The sequence below is a fragment of the Homo sapiens genome, chromosome 7 (genome assembly GCF_000001405.40).
Source record: "Homo sapiens chromosome 7, GRCh38.p14 Primary Assembly".
Lineage (NCBI taxonomy): Eukaryota > Metazoa > Chordata > Mammalia > Primates > Hominidae > Homo > Homo sapiens.
In genome coordinates, this window is record NC_000007.14 from 129,699,113 (window position 1) to 129,716,985 (window position 17,873).

The 17,873-nt window shown below is 40.6% G+C and overlaps 1 protein-coding gene across 4 annotated transcripts in view; it reads left to right on the forward strand.

Annotated features, from left to right (window-relative positions):
* The window catches only part of NRF1 (nuclear respiratory factor 1), a 145,357-nt gene that overhangs the window by 87,393 nt on the left and 40,091 nt on the right, over nt 1-17,873 (forward strand). For all 4 annotated transcript variants that reach the window (NM_001293163.2, NM_001293164.2, NM_005011.5 and 1 more), the window contains 3 exons: nt 9,963-10,121; nt 11,262-11,459; nt 12,363-12,464. In NM_001293163.2, coding sequence (NP_001280092.1) covers nt 9,963-10,121; nt 11,262-11,459; nt 12,363-12,464 — 459 coding nt within the window. The remainder of the gene's footprint in view (nt 1-9,962; nt 10,122-11,261; nt 11,460-12,362; nt 12,465-17,873) is intronic.

Sequence of the window (17,873 nt, forward strand, 5' to 3'; positions counted from 1 at the left end):
TAATATTCCCGTGGCATGATGATGCAACAGGATAGTAATTTACAGCAGTTTCAGGTAAACCTTCTGAAATGTTCAGCAGAGTGGTTGCTTCATTAGGAAGGAGTTATTCACACGGCTTTTGAGATGTTTTACTTACAAAACAGTCAGTCAGTTATCTGCTTAGGTTTTTTGAGAGTTTTGTTCTGTTTTGAAAAAACATTGGTCTCACCTCTTCTACCCAAAGAGTAGAAAACATTATGCTAAGTGAAATAAGCCAGACACAGAAGGAAAATATTGGGTTTCTAGAGTTGGCAAAATGATAAAGATAGAAAATAGAAGTGGCTGGGCATGATGGCTCATGCCTGTAATACCAACACTTTAGAAGGCCAAGGCAAGCGGATCACTTGAGGTCTGGAGTTTGAGACCAGCCTCATCAACATGGTGAAACCCCGTCTCTACTAAAAATTTTTTTGTATTATTTACAAAAAAATTAGCCAGGTATGATGGCAGGTGCCTGCAATCCTAGCTACTGGGGACGCTGAGGCAGGAGAATAGCTTGAACCCAGGAGGTAAAGGTTGTAGTGAGCCGAGATCGCGCCACTGCACTCCAGCCTGGGTGACAGAGAGAGACTCCATCTCAAAAAAAAAGAAAAAAAAAGAAAGAAAATATAAGTTACCAGGGACCATGGGGAGGTAGAAGTCAGGAGTTATCGTTTTAATGGGCACAGAATTTGTTTGAGATGATAATTTTAAAGTTCTAGAAATAGGCCGGGCGCAGTGGCTCATGCCTGTAATCCCAGCACTTTGGGAGGCCAAGGCGGGCAGATCACGAGGTCAGGAGTTTGAGACCAGCCTGACCAACATAGTGAAACCCCGTCTCCACTAAAAAAAAAAAAAAATTTAGCCGGGCATGGTGGCAGGTGTCTGTAATCCCAGCTACTCGGGAGGCTGGGGCAGGAGAATCGCTTGAACCTAGGAGGTGGAGGTTGCAGTGAGCTGAGATGGCACCATTGCACTCCAGCCTGAGAGACAGTGTGAGACTCCATCTCAAAAAAAAAAAAGTCCTAGAAATAATTATGATGGTTATACAACATTGTGAACATATTTAGTGCCACTAAATGGTACATGTTAAAATGATAATGTTATGTTATGTGTATTTTGCCATTATTTTACAAAATTTTTTTGAAAAGGGCTGGATAAAAAGTATTTTAGTTTGGTGGTTCTCAAAATTGGCTGCATAGTAGAGTCACCTAGGGAACTTAAAATCCTAGTGCCCCGGCCACACTCCAGACCAATTAAGTCATAGTCTTCAGGGATGGATCTAGGCATCTGCAATGTTTAAACTCTCCAAGTGATTCCAGCATGCAGGCAACTTTGAGAACCACTATGATGGATCACAATTCCAAACTGCTTCTCCATACTGTAGTGTCAGAATTTACTGGCAAAGCAGGCTCTTCTTACTGTCTGAAATTATCAAAAAATGTTTACATATATGATGTCTTTCCATGTTTAGTAGGCATAATGAAATTAAGAGAATATATATGGGCCAGATGTGGTGGCCCATGCCTGTAATCCCAGCACTTTGGGAGGTCGAGGTAGGCGGATGGTTTGAGGCCAGGAGTTTTGAGACAACCTGGGCAACACAGCAAGACCTCATCTCTACTAAAAATTTAAAAATTAGCCAGGCATGGTGGTGCATCCATAGTCCCACCTACTCAGGAGGCTGAGGTGGTAGGATCACTTGAGCCCAGGAGTTCAAGGCTGCAGTGAGCCATGATCATGCCACTGTACTTCAGCCTGAGCAAAAGAGCGAGACCCTGTCTCAAAAAAGAAAGGAAAAGAAAGAGAGAATATATACGTAACAAATAAAAACACTGGATGTGTTCTTAAATAGAACATGGCATATTGTGAGTAAAGAATAAGGGTATATTCAGAAATACTAAAGAGAAGAAAATAGCCATATAAATTACTTACATAGGATACAACTTGACTAAGGAAATATTTACATTTATATGACAATTAATATCCAGAGCAGATTAATATTTTCTTCATATTCATAAGAAAAAGATAATTAGAAAAATAAGCAAACATTATAAGCAGTTCACAGAAAGGAAAAATAACCAGTAAATATATAAAAAGATTGTCAACTCACTAGTAATGGAAATTAAAATAAGAAAACATTTCCCCCATATCAGATGAGCCAAAATAAGAAAACTTGATAATAAGGCTGGGTGCAGTGGCTCATGCCTGTATCCCAGCACTTTGGGAGGCTGAGGTGGGTGGATCACTTGAGGTCAGGAGTTCAAGACCAGCCTGGCCAACATGGTGAAACCCCGTCTCTACTAAAAATACAAAACAATTAGCCGGCCATGGTAACGCATGCCTGTAGTCCCAACTACAGGTTGAGGCAGGAGAATCACTTGAACCCGGGAGGTGGAGGTTGCAGTGAGCCGAGACCACACCACTGCACTCCAGCCTGGGTGATGAGTGAGGCTGTCTCAAAAAAAAAAAAGAAAAAGAAAAAAAAAAGAGAGAAAACTTGGTAATAAAATGTGGAAGAGGATGAATGGGTATTGTCTGGTACTCTTAGTGACAGTGGGATTGGCAAAGTCTTTCTGGAGGACAATTTGGCAGTGTGTTAAAATGTTAAATCCATATACCCTTTAATCAGCAATTCCACTTTTCTGAATTTCTGCTAAACTGATTTCATAAACTGTAAGCAATCTAAATGTTTATCAGTAGGGGAATGGCTAAATAAAATGGAAATTCTATACCATGGATACTAGGCAACTGTTTTTAAAAATTAGATTATTCTAGTTGCACTACCATGAGAAGATCTCTATGACAAAATGTTGAGTGGAAAAAACAAGTTATAAAATAGTGTACAATATGGTACCATTTGTGTTTTTCTTTAATCACATAAAACTGCCTTTCTAGCATGTATTTATGTAAATGTATAGAATTTGGCCTAGAAGGAAGGCTGTTCATCAAGCCCATGCCTCTGGATAGGAGACTGGATTGAGGGAGGATACATGGCAAAGAGGACTTTGACTTTATCTATATTATTTACATTTTTGTACAGAAGAGTACAACAAGCATAAGGTAACAGAAACTAACCAAACTGTCTCCTTCAAAGAGAAGGTAGGACTTTAAGAGCATTTTGATTAAAAAGAGAGAGAAAGTTTGATAGGTTGGGGGTGCCGAGATACAGAAGCAGAAGTCTTGCCTTGAGAGAGGAGTCTAAATGAGTGTCTCCATTGACTGGCCTTCAAATTCACTAATTCTGAAGTTACGTTGATCTTTTCTCCAAACTTGCTCTTGTGGTTTCTATGGGAATGTGTTTTTAGGGAAAATGAGATTAAGAGAAGCCAGTGTTTTGCTTGGCACTACTAGGGAGTGGTGTTTCTGATAATAACCACCATAGTCATCTCTCTGAACAGAGATCAGTACTACAAATAATTCCCAATATAGGGCAAATGAATCACTTTGCTTTAGCTCTTTAATGCCCTTTAAATATCCATTCAAATAAAATTGGGTCTGTCAGCCTGGACGGTAATAATTTTAAGTTAAAGTAATGTTGCCACAGTCTGAAAAATCTCCATTTTTCCTTCCCTGCTACATTCCTGTTTTCTGTAGGCTATACAAACATAACCTTTCAACATGGTTTGCTTTCAACTGCCTTCTCTTTAAATTTATTATGTATTCTCTGACCTCTTCAGTAGAGGTGGAGTTGGCAGATATGTTGGTCTGAAAGACCTTTTCTTGGTAATTGAGCCTAAATGGACATCAGGAGCCTCAAAATCCCTAGACTCAGATAAATGCAGAGCAAAGATAGAGGGAACAAGAGGAGAGGGTATTTGGAGGATGTGTAAGGATAATGCATTGTTGGATAGCAAAGAACTAACTGAATTTACAAAGGAAATTTCTAGCATAGCAAGAATTTTTTTTTAATTGGATAAGACGTTTTAGAGTTTTAGAGAACCTTTTATTTTAAACCTATCTGTGGTTTCCACATAATCTTTACTTTTCACTGACACAGGCATGAATTTGATATCCTTATCTTTGCTGATTGTCCCGGGAAGTGGTAGTATTTTCTATTCTTTGCTGATTTGGTGTGGCTGTACTGACCAAGCTAGAGTACCTTAGGCCCACCTAGAGCCCTAAATCAGAATGAGAGTCCAGGAAAGCTTGTTCCAGCTCAATTAAAGGACGGTCTGAGAGGTTAGGCTTTAGCTTTGCTGATCCTGTTGATTGTCTCCCTGTGTATTAAAGACAAACCTTCCTTAACAAGCACTTCAAGAAGCTCTGGTTTCCAGAACTCTCCAGGACCAGTAATTAATTCAACTGGTAATGAGAGCACAGTTCCGAATTCTGGAAAGGAATCATTTGACTCTTCCTGTACTGGACTGCTAGTTTCCCTTTATTAATAGTCTCTTTAGCCTTAGCACTGTTTATTTGGGACAGTATAAAAAGAACCTGTAGGAAGATTGCCTTTTTCAATGAAGTCAAATTATCTCTTAAGCATTTAAAAGTAAAAAATACCCTTCATTCCCAAAATGTACACACCTGAAAAACAAACTCTTATAGTAGAAAATACCTTTTACTTCTTTTGGTATAGGGGCAAATTTTATATGCTTGATAATTAGCATTTTTAAAAGCTATGATCTGCTCCTGAATTAGAACTTGTATGCCAGCAGCTGATTTCAGTCTGGTTCCATTTTTTGACTTGATGAGGTTTCTGCCTGTGGAAGTAACCTTCTTTTTGTACTGTTTCTGTTTCTCCTGCCTCACATATTAGCCTCTAGGATCATCTTCCTAGGAATTTGAAACATTTCTCATCCAGAGATTTCTAGCAAATAAATCATCTTTGAAAAGTTTCCCAGTTCTGTCTTTCCTCTAATTATGGTTACCCTTTTTTCTGACAATTTCCATTAGTAATCTGCTTGTACATCCCCCCACCCCCCGTTTTTTTTTAATTGAAGGGAGAGAAACAGTGCATGTGCGAGAGGGAGCTGCTTGTATTAATACGTATTTTTAATGCTCAAGGACCGAGCAGAACAAGGCACCTAAACTTTCTGTACATTGTGGGTGGGTTGGTAATAGCTTGCCATTGATCATTGGTCCAAATGATCAATTTGTTCCTTCTTGGTTCTAGCACCCTTTATTTCTCATCCTCAACCTTGTTTCAGATACATATAAACTCATTCTTCTGCCGCCTTCTGCTTTTTTCCACTTTACCCATCCTTGAAAAACTAATGATGAATGTCTTAATGTACATTACAGTGTGTTCAGTATTAGTAAACCATTTCAGAAAGCTAGCTATTTGTTTGCATTGGGAGAATAAATTCCCTATTTTCCCTGATTTAAAAGTAAAATCTCATTTACCTTTGAAATATTTATTTTTGGCAAATGGTCACATTTAGACTTTGATAGAAACTTAATATAGATTGAGTACCCCCTGCCTGAAATGTTTGGGACCAGAAGTACGTTGGATTTCATATATTTTTGGATTTTTTTAACATTTGCATATACCTAGTGAGATATCTTGGGGATAGGACCACAATCTAAACACAGAATTTATTTGTGTTTTATATACACCTTATGCACTATAGCCTGGTGGTAATTTCTTAGGGTATTTTTAATAATTTTGTGCATGAAATAAAGTTTTGACAGCGACTTGAGGTCATGGGTGGAATTTTCCACATGTGACACTTGAAACATTCCAGATTTCAGATCTTCAAATTAGGGATGCTCAATCTCTCCAGATTAAGGATTAAAACTGTGCTGGATTAAAGCCATGATGTTTCTGAGTCCTTATTTGTTTTACATTTAGAGTAGTTTTATTTAATAGATTTGAAGAGTGGATGCTTAAAGCATCTACTTTTTTAAAAAAAAAGAAACAGCTTTTTCTTATTATAAAATCAGAATTACCAATCAGTTGCCAAAGAGCTATGGTGCACCTAAATTTTATAACAAATTAAGCTCTAAATTTTAGAACAAAAGTTATGAATACTGGAGAAGTTGCTGAAAAAAGATGGCTTGATGACTGAGGTAATAATAATAAAACTTCTATTAATTAATATACCTGCTATCTCAGCCTCTTCATTGACCTTGTATATTTGCTATTATTACTGTTTTGCAGATGAGAACATTAATATTCAGAGCCAACTCTGAGTCTTGTGGGTTTTTTTTGTTTCTTGGTTTGTTTTTTGTTTTTGAGATGGAGTCTTGCTCTGTTGCCCAGGCTGGAGTGTAGTTGAGCGATCGTAGCTCACTGCAACCTCCGCCTCCCGGGATTAAGCGATTCTCCTGCCTCAGCCTCCTGAGTAGCTGGCATTACAGGTATGTGCCACCATGCCTGGCTAATTTTTGTATTTTTAGTAAAGACGGTGTTTCACCATGTTGGCCAGGTGGGTCTCAAATTCCTGACCTCAGGCAGTCTGCTCTCCTTGACCTTCCAGAGTGCTGGGATTACAGGCGTGAGCCACCAAGCCCGGCCCTTGTGTTCTTTTTGGTAGAAAGAGCTAACTTAAGAGAAGTGAGTCTGAGTGCACTGACTCACACCTGAAATCCCAGCACTTTGGGTGGTTGAGGCAGGAGGATTGCTTCAGTCCAGGAGTTGGAGATTGGCCTGGGCAATGTAGGGAGACCCCTTCTCTACAAAAAGAAAAAAAAGAAAAGAAGGAAAAGTAAAGAAAAAAAATAGCTGGGCATGGTGGCATGCGCCTTTAGTCCCAACTACTGAAGGCTGAAACAGGAGGATCCCTTGAGCCCTGGAGGTTGAGGCTGCATTGAACTGTGATCATGCCACTGCACTCCAGCCTGGGCCACAGAGCAAGATCCGAGAGTGAGAGAGAGAGAGAGAGAGAATGAATGAATAGTTAGTATATGTTCCACAAAGAATGTAGGACTTTTCTGGGCACTAAAGAATGAGTGGCGGCATTAGAATAGTAGCATGGAAAATAGTCCAGCCAGGGGACAGAACAAAGGCAAAGAAGCGGGAATGGGCTTAGCAGCTCTTAAGACAGTGCAGAGATTTGTCTGATGGAGGACCAAGGCTGAGTGGTGGGAATTAATGGGAACTGACTGTAGTGTGAGGCCAGATTGTGGTGGGTCTGAAAAGCTGGGCAGAAGGATCTAGTTTAGTTGCCATAGTTAAAAGACATTTGGAGGTGTTTTGAGCATTGGAGCTATGTAGGTAACATTTAGGAAAACCTCTCAGGCAAGGATATGTGGGAAGAGGGAATGAAGGGAGAACTTGGAGTTTCCCAAGAAAGCCAACTAGAAGGATACACTAGCCTTGGGCCAAAAAATTAGAATAAAGGTGGGGCCGGAGAAGAAGGGATAGACACCAGAGACGTTTCAAAGAAAACAAAAGAACTGGACTTGCAATGTGTGACTAGGTAAGTGTTGAAGGAGAAAAGTAAAGATAACTTTGACATTTTTAGTTTGAGTGGCCGGGGAAAGGGTGGTTTTCTACTTGCTAAGATAAAAAAGTTGAGAAGACAAGTAGATTGGAGAGAGGGTAGGGTAGGAGTTTAAGTGAAGAGGCTGATGCTGAGCCCACCTTTCAAGTAACATTGAGTTATTGGAACTCAGTTGGAAGGCCTGGTGGGAGAGCCGAAGGAAGACTTGAGGGTGAAAGATATCCACGTCCAGGTGCCAACGTGACCCAGAACTGAGGAGCATAAGGAACTATTGGTGCAAATAGGGTGAGGCGTCAGAAGTGAAGCGATCACCAGAATTAGGGAATATAGAGGGTTCCAGGTGGATCTGAGCAGACTCTGTCAGTCTAGTATTCTCCACAGTGAGTGCTTTCTGATCACTTTAGGATTTCTGTTTTGTTTGTTTGGTTTAAGACAGGGTCTTGCTCTGTCACCCGCTTTAGGATTTTTGTTTTGTTTTGTTTTGTTTTGTTTTGAGACAAGGTCTCACTCTGTCACCCAGGCTGGAGTGAAGTGGCACCATCATGGCTCACTGCATCCTTGACCTCCTGAGCTCAAGCGATCCTCCTGCCTCAGCCTCTCTAGTAGCTGGGACTACAGGCACGTGCCACTGTAACCGACTGAGTTTTGTATTTTTGGTAGAGACAGAGTCCCACTGTGTTGCCCAAGCTGGTCTCAAACTCCTGGTCTCAAGCATTCTGCCTGCCTGAGCCTCCCAAGGTGCAGGGATTATAGGCATGAGCCACTGCACCCAACCCACTTTAGGATTTTGTTAATTTAGAATTATTTAGCCTTCTCATTTCATTTTCTCCAGACTCTCCTAGGTATGAATATAAAGAATTCTCCTTTTTGGAAACTGTTAATGGTATTCAAAGAAAAGGGAGTTTATGAAAGTCTATATCAATTTAATCTATACCTCTGAGAAAGCCATTTTTTTTAACATGAAGAAGTATAAAATATTGTGTGTGAAGATTAAGCCCTTTCTTGCTCTATGTATTTGAGCCTAGAAAAAGACACACTCCCAAGAAATTAGAATAAAGGGAAAAATGACTTTGAGATGTACTTTCTTAAAATAACTGAAGTAATGACCGCATGAGCCAGCTGATGGGTTTTTAAATGGATACGTTTCTATCAGCCTGCTGCTTGATGCCAGAGCCAAATATATATGGAGTGTATTATATCATATCCTGTAGGCAGGAGACTGTTGGGGCATTGGGGGACTTAGAGAGGTGAAGTGGCAGGCTTGGCACAGGAATTAACAGCATGGCTACCGTCAACCAGAACTTTATTAGGTCAACATTACTGATTGGGTTCATGGTTCCCTATTATGTAACAATTTGTATCATCTTCTCGTAAAATAATATCTAATATTTATTATAAGAATGATAAGAATACCTGATATTTATAGAAATCTTTAATATTAAAGTGTTGCTGTACTCATTCTCTCATTAATACTTAATTATTCTCATTTCTGTTTTTTCTTGTTTTACTTTGTAACTACAAATCCACACCCCCGAGTCTGATTCATTGCTAAAAGTGGCCTCTTTTTGGTTTTCAGCTGCAGGGGCAGTATGGGTGCATCCTTAGTTGCAGGATGCTACTTATATCTGGAGTGCTATAGACCACCAGGTTAAAAGGAAGACAGTAGGTCTGGGAAGGAGGAATAGATCATAAATTGATAAACTGCTTTTCTTGCCAGAAATCATTATCAGCGATTAAGAATATTCACAAAGTAGACCCTCCCCCAACACACACAGAGTGTGGTTACTATGCCAGGAAATAAGAATGGCAGTTGTCTTTGTGGTTTAAAACCTGTTTGGTCTGGATTTGATTTGTAAAATAAATCTGAATGAAGTCCATAATGCATTTAAATTCACACATGCTTTACTATGTCTATATGTCAGACTCATGGACAGTGGCCTAGCTTACTGGAAAATTTCTAGAAGAGTTTTAGGGTTATTTTCCCTTTTTATTAAGTTAAAGGCCTGTTTGTTTTCCTATATTTTATAATCAGCCACCTTATTGAATTCTCATTATTGTTTGTAGTAGTTTTTCATTTGATCTCTTTGGAATTCTCTAGATATAAGGTGACTTCATCTATAAATAATAATGATTTTATCAGCTCGCCTCTTATTTCTCTCTTATCTAATTGCATGGATTCCTACTTCCAGAACAGTGTTGAAAACACCCCGAGTTTGGCACCTTACATGCATGAAAACTGTAGAAGGGAAATAAGCTATAGTACCAGTAATATCTTGGGAAGCAGAAATTAAACTTAGGGGTAGATATTCTTACTCTTAGAGGAACAAGTCTACAAAATGCAGCCTAAGGTGCACTTTATCAACATATTTATAATTCTCAACCACCCATGGAGATATAGGAACCTATGGAAAACAGTGGGTTTTCATCAGTCACATCTTAGAATTCTCTGGGACCTTCCTGGAAACCTCTCTGTTTTATAAGGTTAGAATTTAAGGAGTCATAAACACACCCCAGATGTCTTTCATGAGTATTGATGACCACACTGTTCTCTTCCAGGCCCAGCTTCGGGCATTTATCCCAGAGATGCTCAAGTACTCTACAGGTCGGGGAAAACCAGGCTGGGGGAAAGAAAGCTGCAAGCCCATCTGGTGGCCTGAAGATATCCCCTGGGCAAATGTCCGGAGTGATGTCCGCACAGAAGAGCAAAAGCAGAGGGTGAGAGTTCCTCTGACTGAGTTGCCTGGTTGCTTTTCCATCCTAAATTAACCACCTCAATTTTTGTCATTTCTACATCTTGTGCTAGAAAGTCTTTGTGTAATAGTTAAGCCTGTCCCTCCAAAGACTGATATTCTTTGATTTATAGCCTTTTCCATTTGTCGCTCCATCACTATACTATAAAGAGAAGACTGGGTTGAGTTGATGAATTTAAAATGTGTCTTCGGGGTTGCCTTTTGGAGCAGTTTTAATTTTATGAAGTGCTTGGGAAAGTCAAAGAAACTTGAAGTAAAAGTATTAATCACTTTGAACACTTAGAAATGCTTTTATTTCTGGTTACTAAAAATCATTGTTGAAAATGTAAATATGGAATTAGAGGGATATGAAGTCTGCCAGCTGAGTCTGCTAATAACAAAACTTTTACAAGAAAGACTAAACTACCTACCATTCCTTACTTTTTTTGCGTATTTATTTTTCTTTTTCTTTCTTTTCTTTCTTTTTTTTTTTTTTTTTTGAGACAGAGTCTCACTCTTGTTGCCCAGGCTGGAGTGCAATGACGTGACCTCGGCTCGCCGCAACCTCTGCCTCCCGGGTTCAAGCAATTCTTCTGTCTCAGCCTCCCGAGTAGTTGGGATTACAGGCATGCACCACCATGCCCAGCTAATTTTGTATTTTCAGTAGAGATGGGGTTTCTCCATGCTGGTCAGGCTGGTCTCGAACTCCCGACCTCAGGCCATCCGCCCTCCTCAGCCTCCCAAAGTGCTGGGATTACAGGCGTGAGCCACCATGCCTGGCCACGTATTTATTTTTCATTTAGCTTGGAAGTTTACTGAGAATCTTAATATGCCATTCTTGATCAGAATAATCTTTCTTTGCAAGAAGTTTAAGAGTTTGGCCTCAGGTTGGAATAGGGTGTAAACTAGACTTTGATCAAGAAGAAACCAATGAGAAGCCCTCTTTGATACTTCGTACACAGCTTCTTTCTACCAGAACCAGTCTGTGGGAGGTAATCCTAGGAGAGTCTAATAAGAGGTTTGGTTTGGTTTGATTTGATAAAGAAGTAGCTGCTTATTGCATATTGGGACTAAATAACCAAAGTTCTTTGTGGCTTAATGTGCTTTTCCGGTCATTTGGTGACAGGTTTCATGGACCCAGGCACTACGGACCATAGTTAAAAACTGTTATAAACAGCATGGGCGGGAAGACCTTTTGTATGCCTTTGAAGATCAGCAAACGCAAACACAGGCCACAGCCACACATAGTATAGCTCATCTTGTACCATCACAGACTGTAGTCCAGACTTTTAGTAACCCTGATGGCACTGTCTCACTTATCCAGGTGAGTAAACCTGAGGGCTACCAGACTGTGGCTTCTGAGATGGATCAGTGGGCACCTCACCTCAGACTAGGGAAAGTTTCCTTTGTGCGAACTCTTGTATGAACTTTATATAGCTCCCCAAGATCTTCCTACCTGAAATTGATTTCTGAAGAATAGTTTAAATTCTTTGCATTTGCTAAATACAGAGCTATGAGTAGCTTCCTGGACATTTCCAAAACAAAGCACTTTTAAAGGGCTCTTTTTTTTTTTGAGACAAGATCTCTCTCTGTCATCACAGCTCACTGCAGCCTCAACCTCCCGGGCTCAAGTGATTCTCCCTCCTCAGCCTCCCGAGTAGCTGGGACTACAGGTGTATGCCACCAGGCCTGGCTGAATTTTTTTTTTTTTTTTAAGTAGAGATGAGGTCTTGCTATGTTGCCCAGGCTGGTCTCAAACTCCTGAGCTCAAGTGATCCTCCTGCCTCGGCCTCCTAAAATGCTGGGATTACAGATGTGGGCCACCATGTCTGGCCTTAAAATGACTTCTGTTTTACAGTTTCACTCTCAGTGATCAGGGAATATTCCTTCTGAATGACCTCTTCTGAGGTAAAACACAATTTGTTGATTGGGAACCTCTAAAGTTCAGATTGAGGTGAGAATAGAAAGTTGGTTGACCAACACTGGGCATGGATGTGGCGATGTGATAGCTTTTCTCATATGGACTTATTTGGTTGAAGTAAAATTCTGAAACTCGTGATAGTCTCTGAACTATGATTTTAGTGAGCTATGATTTTAGATTTCACATCATAAGGCATATTCTTTGTTATCTGTGCTGAATTTGGGATTAAATGAGTCTCAGCTTCTGAGTAAAGAGGTGGAAGGATCCATCCACTGACACTTAACCACTTTCCATATTTTTCTTTAGGTTGGTACGGGGGCAACAGTAGCCACATTGGCTGATGCTTCAGAATTGCCAACCACGGTCACCGTTGCCCAAGTGAATTATTCTGCCGTGGCTGATGGAGAGGTAAGAAAGAGATTCCATCTGCATCTTCTTAAATACTTGAATGTATAATGAGGGAAAAGCAAGGGTCCAGAAGATGGAGTAGCCTGCATGTCTGCGGCACTCTTTCATTTAAACCTTTTAAAGAGCATGAGACCATGAAAGTTTTAGAAAGTGTCTTATGCTATGTGTATTAATTGTAACAATTAAGATTCATGGATTAGTATGTCAGGAACTTAGAATTTTACATTTGAATGTATAGCATTTGGTATTATACACAATACAAAGGGATTATCCCTTTACCATTTTTATGCTGTGAATCCCAAAGAATTTCATCTTTGGTCTTTATGAAAAAAAAATGTCACATTAAAACTGGAACTGACTAAGGGAAGCCTTCTTTGAAAGGATAAATATGTTTGCAAGTCAGTAACATGATTTATTACATCTTAAATATGCCTTTGAAAAGATTTCTTAGGAGAATTCTTCCTTACCAAAATTGGGATAATTATGGGACATTAACCTAAAGACAGCCAACCTTTATTGATCACTTGGTGGGCTAAACACTCAACCCTATGAAGTATAAAGTTCTGTTATCTTCACTTTAGAGATGAGAAAACCGAGACATAACAGAGCTTAGATGATTTGCCCAAAGTCCCATAGCAGTGTTGAAGCTGGATAATGCATTGAGAAAAACATTACCTAGGCTCTGAGCCATTGGTGAAGATGCAACAGTGAAGGAAGGGGTTTGTTACGTCACCATGAGTGTTTCCCTTGAAGATACTGATGTGGTGTGCTGAAGTTTGAAAAATAGCCAACAGATGTCAAAGAGCAGTATCAGAAATAAAGCTAAGAGTATTATCTCACCCTTGTTGAGAGCCATGGAGCATTTCCCCTTAGAACACCACAAAGTCACTTTCATTTGTGCCCCTCAGGAGAGGGGGAGAGCTGGCAAAGGCCACATGGCTGGGAGATGGAGGGAGAGTGCACCACAGGCTCCTTGGCCACCCTGCATGTGCCAAACCCCTGTGTAGCTGCAGCTGTGTGGAGTTGATTCGCACAGGATCCTTGCTGTCATGGGACTCCAGTCTAGTGGGGAAGAGAGATGTCTACGTGAATGAACTCTAGCCTTCCTGTAAGGGATGCTGCAAAGCGTATGTGCCTCCTTTCCACCTAAGGAGCCTGGGAAAGTTTGGGACACTGAAAAACTTGGTTATTGGGTGAGGAAAGGTGAAGGTTGACAGGACACTTACTTTCTAAGTATATAAACATCATTAAAGGATATGGATTAGCAAAGCAAAGAATTTGTCAGTCCCAGAACACTAGAACAAGATGACACTCCTTAAAGTCTGAAAGAGGTGGAAAAGACAACGAGGGGTACAGTTAGGAGATGTGTTAGTTTTTGGCTTAGACAAAGTTATCAACCATATGTCTCTACTGAATGTTTCTTGGTACTATTTAAAGAAAGTAACTTCGTTTCCTTCTGTATAAAATAATTTGTTTTTGACACATAATATTTATAACATTAATGGAGTTGCGTTTCCTTTTTTTTTTTTTTTTTTCCTGAGACGGAATCTCACTCTGTGGCCCAGGCTGGAGTGTAGTGGCACGATCTCAGCTCACTGCAACCTCCGCCTCCCAGGTTCAAGCGATTCTTCTGCCTCAGCCTCCCGAGTAGCACCAGGCACGCACCACCATGCCCAGCTAATTTTTGTATTTTCAGTAGAAACGGGGTTTTACCATGTTGGCCAGGATGGTCTCGATCTCTTGACCTCATGATCCGCCTGCCTTGGCCTCCCAAAGTGCTAGGATGATATATAGTATATATAATTCTGTTAGAAGAGAAAGCCAAAGTGCAAAAACATTAGAGACGTGAATTTTAAACTGAACCATCAATATATGTAACAGTTTTGAATTGCATAACTCATTTTAGGTGCATTTTTATGAATGTCAGTTTACCTTAAATATGGGCAGGCTGAATAACAAATAGGAAAATATCAATAGTATTTTTCCATCCATCCCTTCAGTAAACACTTTTTGAGCCCTGTGCCAGGCACTGTAGAGACTATAGATAAAAGATAATAAAGACTCCCCTTTCCCTTAAGGAGCACATAGGTAGGCGGTAGAGAAAAGCAAAGAACAATTGCAGTGAGATAAGGGTCTACTGGCAGCAAGCCCAGGGTGCTGTGGAACAGCAGAGGAGAGGCTCTCATCTGGACTTCAGGGGAGTGGAATTGTCTCAGGAAACACTTCCCAGAGGTGTAGCCCCTGAGCTTAGACTAGAGTGGGAACTAGCCAAACAAAGGAGAGGGATGGGAGTTCTATCCTGTCAAAGAGAGCAACACATTCAGTGCATTGACTTGTGAAAGCATGGAACAGCCACAGTTTGAAGGGCCTTGTGGTAGTGGGCCTCTCTCAGAAATGCATAGTAGCTAATGAGATATCTTCTGAATATCTTCCTCTCCTAGGGCTTGTGGCCCTTTCTTTGGGGAAGGGAGTGCAACAAGAGCTCAAGTAAACACAGTTTAAGAAAGCACTGAGACTCAGGAATAGGAAATTCCGAAGAGATGCTGGCACTTGAGCTGATTTCTTGATCACCTGCCGTGTTTCTGATTAGAAATCTCTTCTCTGTTTCTCCTCCTATTTTCTCTTCACCGTTTACTGTCATTCCATGCCATATAATTTAACTTTCTTAAATTATACTGTATATGGCAGCATTCTAATGCCATTTTCACTACAAATATAGTTGTAACTAAAAGTATCTATATTGACTTGCTGCCTTTGGAGTTTGAGGACTTGAGAGAGCCTCACTGGGCCAAACTCAAGTGAGAGCAGCAGCATGGGCCAGACTGAAATAGAGGGGCAGATCAGAAACAGGAAGACCATTCCCTAGCAGTAGGCAACAGCACTGCCCGGCTTCAGTGGATGTTTTGAGCGGACTCATCAGCCACCTAAGAATTGATAGTGCAGCTTGCCTCTTATGGTGGCAGTGTTGGTAGTGATGTTCATTGGAGCAATGAGATCAAAGCAACCAACCTTGGAAAGCAAGAGCTTTGGAGTTCCTGAGGGGCAATTTTGCAGCTCTAGGATATCTCTGCCTCAGGAGTGATGGGCCCTGAAGGCTTGCTGGCACAATCCACTGCCCATGAGAACTCAGGGCAAACACGAAGGTAACTCAAAGGAATGTCTCTTTCTCTGAGAGGCTTTTGGCAAACATTCTGAAAAGCATTATCATAATCTAAGTATGGTAATATAACTAAAGCAGGAAGCATTTAAAATATCTACCTCCTAGAGCTTGGAGCACTTTCTTTGGGACACAGTAACAAGCAGGCACAAGGTAACTACTCACTAGGCCCCAGCAATGTGAAGCAGGAATAGCAAGAGCTGCAGTAAGCACTGCTAAGGTCCTGAGACCCAGGAGTCCAAAGACAGATACACCTGAGCTGATGGATCACCTGCTGTACTTCCAAATAGAAATTGCTTTTACTGCCCCTGCTGCTTTTCAGTTTTGAGGGTGGGTAGTTAATCAACCAGTATTTATTGAGCAAAACGGACTGAAGTAACTAGATACAGGTATTCAGAACTAAGTCTCTAAACACAGAGAATTGTACTAAAATCAGTAGTTCTGTACCCCAGACCAGAGGGGACATTTGGCAATACCTGGAGACATTTTTTACCGTCCTGACTGGGGAGGGTGCTATTGGCATCTAGCGGGTACAAGCCGGGATGCTGCTAACCATCCTGCAATGCACAGGACAGCCCCACAACCAAGGATACCTGGGCCAAAATGTTAGCATGCCAAGACTGAGAGACTGTAGGCCTAGCAAACCTGGATTCTCATGTATCCTGTCACCAGAGAGTATGATTTTTATTTTTGGGTTTTTTGCTGTGGGCAGTGGGAGAGTCTTCATAACTTCTCCCCTACTAAAAAGAAAGCAGTTTTTGCTACACTTTAAAAAATTAGTTTCTGAGTTTAGCAGTTTCTATCAAAAATAAACATGCCAAATAACTTTGATCTATAATTCTACCTCTAGGCATTTACCCTATAAATAGACTCACATGTAATATACAAAGTATAATAGTATATAAGGATATTCATCACAGCACTGTTTGTTAATAGCAAAAGACTGTAAACCACTTAAATGTGCATGAAAAGATGACTTGTTAAATAAATCATGATGTTTCTATATAATGCAATGCTTCCCAGCACTTTGGGAGGCGGAGGCAGGTGGATCACCTGAAGTCGGGAGTTCAAGACCAGCTTAACCAACATGGAGAAACCCCGTTTCTACTAAAAATACAAAATTAGCTGGGTGTGGTGGTGGGGTGCCTGTAATCCCAGCTACTTGGGAGGCTGAGGCAGGAGAATCGCTTGAACCTGGGAGGCGGAGGTTGCGGTGAGCCGAGATCGCGCCACTGCACTCCAGCCTGGGCAACAAGAGCAAAACTCCGTCTCCAACAACAAAAAAAAAAAAGCCATTCTATGCAGCCATTTTTAAGAATCATGAATGAGTAAAGTAGTTTTATATGTTCCAAAATGGAATCATTTCAGAGATGTACTGTTTGTGAAAAAAGCAAGATACAAAAGATATGTAGAATATGCTGCCATTTTTATTTTAGAGGAGGGAGTAGAAAGGGGAAATGGGGTGAATGTGTGTGTGTGTCTGTGTAAATATACTTCCATATAGCAGGAATAGCTCTACAAAGGTACACGAGAAAATAGGTACATTACATGGAAATATTGTATAATGATAAAATAATAAAAGAGAAAATAGGCACAGTTGTAGACCCTTTGGACAAAGGGTCTAGAGTACTGGTATCATATTCCCTTTGATACAGTTTGAAATTTTGGTATAGTTTGAATTTTTTTTTCCTCTCATGGCCCATTTCTAACAACCCAGCCTATATATTTTTAAACTTTATTATGTATTTATTTAAATTAACAAAAAATTGTATATATTTATCTGGCACAACATGTTGTTTTGAAGTATGTATATATCGGGAAGTAAATTGAGAAACGTATTTAAAAGTGTAGAGTGGGCCGGGCGTGGTGACTCATGCCTGTAATCCCAGCACTTTGGGAGACTGAGGCAGGTGGATTACCTAAGGTCAGGAGTTTGAGACCAGCCTGGCCAACGTGGTGAAACCCCATCTTTACCAAAAATACAAAAATTAGCCAGGGGTGGTGGTACACACCTATAGTCCCAACTACTTGGGAGCCTGAGGCAGGAGAATCGCTCAACCTGGGATGTGGAGGTTGCAGTGAGCCAAGATCGTGCCATTGCACTCCGGCTTGGGCGACAGAGGGAGACTCCCTCTCAAAAAAAAAAAAAAGGTACAGTGGAAGGTCTTGCTTTCTGTCTCCCATCCAACTTGTTTCCAACTCCTCTCAACCCCACACATACAATCCAGAGAATATATTCAGTGGCTTTTGTG